This window comes from Homo sapiens, chromosome 15, assembly GCF_000001405.40.
Source record: "Homo sapiens chromosome 15, GRCh38.p14 Primary Assembly".
NCBI lineage: Eukaryota > Metazoa > Chordata > Mammalia > Primates > Hominidae > Homo > Homo sapiens.
Genome location: NC_000015.10, coordinates 21,714,812 through 21,719,042, shown reverse-complemented (window position 1 = coordinate 21,719,042; position 4,231 = coordinate 21,714,812). Strand labels below are relative to the sequence as shown.

General features: G+C 46.6%; 1 pseudogene across 1 annotated transcript; it reads left to right on the top strand.

Annotated features, from left to right (window-relative positions):
- The first annotated feature begins 735 nt into the window (after positions 1 to 735).
- LOC102724760 (immunoglobulin heavy variable 1/OR15-1 pseudogene) lies at positions 736 to 1,377 on the top strand (annotated as a pseudogene). The gene is made up of 2 exons (NR_135695.1): positions 736 to 843; positions 929 to 1,377. The product of NR_135695.1 is annotated as an immunoglobulin heavy variable 1/OR15-1 pseudogene (transcript).
- The last annotated feature ends 2,854 nt before the right edge of the window (positions 1,378 to 4,231 follow it).

Below are 4,231 nucleotides of genomic sequence, written 5' to 3'. Positions count from 1 at the left end.
GCCAGGGCACAGTCACTTCCTAGTGAGCTACAGAGGCTGAGAGAAAAATGCTCTGTGAGACCCAACAGGAAGCTCCCTGCAGTGCAAGGTGTGGGTGGCAGGGAGCGCTCGGGCCTCCCCGCAGCACAGACTTGCAGCCCAAGAGCAGGTGCACAGGAGGCTGGGGAGGGGTTCCTCCCAGGGGTTGATGTCTTCCTTTTCTTGAACAAACATGCTTTAATAAGTTAAACAAGAATTTAGTAAAGACTATTTGTAGGATTTATCTAACCTAACAAGTCAATGAGAATCACATTTAAAAGGAGAAATTTCTAGGATTTTCAGATATCTTAATAGTTAGGAGATGGAGAAAAGGGATAGTTTTATTAATTCAGTGCTTGCCAATCTTAGCAGAGACAGTAGTAAGACAGGCAGAAAGCAAAGCCCAGAAAAGTATGAAGGTGTCAAAGTGCCATTTAAGTATGGGTTCACTTGGAGGACCATGTTTTGTGGGAACTTGTTTTCAGCAGAGACAATTTATTTTAGCAGAGTTCTGGGCATACAAGGGGACACACATCATTAAACAAGGATTAGGACAGGGCTTCAGCGTCCCACTGTTGCATGGCCCATAAATAATGTGTGTTCTCTTTCTCATCTTGGATCAAGTCTAGAGCTATGAAGCTATGAAATAGTACCCCTCATGAATATGCAAATAACCTGAGATTTACTGAAGTAAATACAGATCTGTCCTTGCCCTGAGAGCATCACCCAACAACCACATCCGTCCTCTAGAGAATCCCCTGAGAGCTCAGCTCCTCACCATGGACTGGACCTGGAGGATCCTCTTCTTGGTGGCAGCAGCTACAGGTAGGAGGCTCCCTAGTCCCAGTGATGAGAAAGAGATTGAGTCCAGTCCAGGGAGATCTCATCCACTCCTGTGTCCTCTCCACAGGTGCCCACTCCCAGGTGCAGCTGGTGCAGTCTGGGGCTGAGGTGAAGAAGCCTGGGGCCTCAGTGAAGGTCTCCTGCAAGGCTTCTGGATACATCTTCACCGACTACTATATGCACTGGGTGCGACAGGCCCCTGGACAAGAGCTTGGGTGGATGGGACGGATCAACCCTAACAGTGGTGGCACAAACTATGCACAGAAGTTTCAGGGCAGAGTCACCATGACCAGGGACACGTCCATCAGCACAGCCTACACGGAGCTGAGCAGCCTGAGATCTGAGGACACGGCCACGTATTACTGTGCGAGAGACACAGTGTGAAAACCCACATCCTGAGAGTGTCAGAAACCCCAGGGAGGAGGCAGCTGTGCTGGGGCTGAGAAATGAAAGGGATTATTATTTTTAATGTTGTTTACAGTATGTCATTAATAAATTGAAAAAAGTAACAATAGAAGTATATACTCTAATTATATGGGAAGTTTGTTTTTTCAGTTTTTTGGTGTTTTTTTTTTTTTTTTTGGTTTGTTTGTTTGTGACAGAGTCTCACTCTGCCACCCAGGCTGGAGTGACACGGCAAAGTCTCAGCTCACTGCAACCTCCACCTCCCAGGTTCAAGCAATTCTCCTGCCTTGGCCTCCAGAGTAGTTGGGATTACAGGCACCCGCCACCACGCCCGGCGAATTTTTGTATTTTTAGTAGAGACGGGGTTTCACCATGTTAGCTAGGCTGGTCTCGAACTGCTGATCTCAGGTGATCTACCCTCCTCAGCCTCCCAAAGTCCTGGGATTACAGGTGTGAGCCACTGCGCCTGGCCCAATTATATGGGAATTGTTTATATAATTATCACCCTATAAGCAAAATTCATGGAGGAGGAAAAGCTCTACTGAAGAAAGCTGATACCGGCATTCCCATGAAAGTATCTGTGTAGAAGTAAGTATTAAAATCAGTTGAATAGGTGAGGCACGGTGGCTCATGCCTATAATCCCAGCACTTTGGGAGACCGAGGCAGGTGGATCACAAGGTAAGGAGTTCAAGATCAGCCTGGCCAAGATGGCGAAACCCCTTCTCTACTAAAAATACAAAGAATTAGCTGGGCGTGGTGGTGGATGCCTGTAATCACAGCTACTTGGGAGGCTGAGGCAGAGAATTGCTTGAACCAGGGAGGCGAAGGTTGCAGTGAGCCGAGATCGCGCCACTGCACTCCAGCCTGGGTGACAGAGCGAAACTCCATCTCAAAACAAAACAAAACAAAACAAAACAAAAAAATCAGTTGAATAAAGTACCTTAGAGTCATCTGTTCAATTAACATGTTTAACTCCAAAGAAATCATGAAAATATTTTCCAAAAAGGAAGTGCCATTTTATGTTCCTACCAACAGTGAATAAGACTTTCTTTTCTGGAGCCTTGTCAGTATTCACCAATGCTTTGCTGTGCAGCCATTGTAATATTATAGTAAATGAGTAGCAGTATTTAATGGTTGTTTAAATATACATATTCCTAATACAAAGTCTTGATGAACACTTTTTTATACATTGTTTTACGAGGTGCGTGTTCAGATCTATGTATGCCAGAAATGCCTGGCAGCATTAATTTAAGCACACTGTGAGAATGACCCTATAGTTTAAGAAGAATGTATGTTCAGAGCTCTGAGCTAAGAAATCCAGGAGCTGTCCACCCAGAAGTTTATTCCTTGTCTGTGAAGGACGTCTGAAGCCCTGGCCTATCCCTTGGAACACAGGATGTCCAGGTGATTGAGGCTCTTTGTTAAATCTGGAGGTTGCTAGGTAGAGGGTGCTAAGTGAAAATCATAATATAAACTACACATGTTTTACAAATGGTAGTGGTTTTCCTGTCCAACACACTCTTCCTGGGCCACATTGTATGGAAGTCCTCAATACACCCTAGATCTTGTTCATGGGCTCCAGGTCTCCTCTTTAGCCTTTTGGACATGGTGCCATGCCTATTACAGTCAATAGGGGTCTAGCATGACAATTGGGAGGCCCAGAACAAGGTCAAAGAAAATCCCACAAGTTCTTAGACAACGGTGTCAAGGAAGGGGAGACCTGTGGGGAAATCCCAGGCAGGCCATGCACATCTCTGTGGGCCCAACAGCTGCAATCCTTGATGGATAGGGCCTGCTGCAAGTGTACAGGGATGCCTCCAAAATGCCAAAAGTTCTGGAGGACCTGTTGCCTGAGGTGGATGTGACAATGTGACAAAGTGACAGTCAGATGCCTGAGCTGTCGCAGCTGTTGGCCACTCCTGACTGCACTCTGAGCAACCACTGAGGCAGAGCTCACTGCACAGGCTAGGGTGTGTCAGCCACAAGAACAGCTGTAACTATAATGAGATGCCGCCTGCAGGGATAGGATAGCAAATTGGAGACCATTGTTTATTTGGTAGGCCATTTAAAGTGTTGCCGACTGCCACACCAATGCGTTAGGACTATTATGACTACATCGTCCTGGAAGCCTAAGTCCTGGTGTCCGATGTAGAGCTCCAGTGGGAAGGAGATGAAGGTTAGGATGACTCCATAAAGGTTCTTGCCCTGCAGCCCCTGCTTTGCTGTCTCACTTGGTGAACAGAGGATGGGGGGGTCAATGCAGACAAAGTCCAGGGTCTAGGCTTATCAGTCAAATACTTGGTGTCATCTGGTTACATAAGACTATAGTTATTCCATATTTCATTATAGATAAGATAAGATGCAGGTCTACTCATGTCCCAACACACCAAAGCAGTTGGAAACCTTCCAAGGCCTCCTGGGACATTGGCGATCCTTTATTCCCCATTTCGGCAAACTCCTTAGGCCCCCATGGCACTTAGTCAAGAAGGTGCCCCACTGCGACTGTTCCAAAAGGGAGGATGAGGGCTCTGAAGAAGCTAAAGTCACAGTGAAATGAATACAAACCTTGGGAGTTCTAGTGCAGGGACAGCCCTGTGAATTGGATGTAGTCAGTTACCCTGAGGGGTTTAGGTGGGGACTGTGTTAAAGGCAAGGACATAAGTGTGTGTCCCTAAGACCCTGGTCTCAAAGACAGAAGGAAGCTGAAGTGAGATATACTGTTTAGGAGTAACAACCGCACTACATGTCATGCCTTACAAGTGGAGGATGTGACAGAGGGCCACTCCACATCCAGAACAACCTTTAGCAGGCTGGCTAAAGGATGCCTTCCAGACACAAAAGCCTTGGAATACCAGGACACAGTCTGTAGCCAAATGGTACTTGTGGTGGTCACCACCAACATAAAAGTGGGCCAACTGTGCCAGCAGAAGTTAGCCCCACAGAACTTTCCCCCACCTAAGAGAA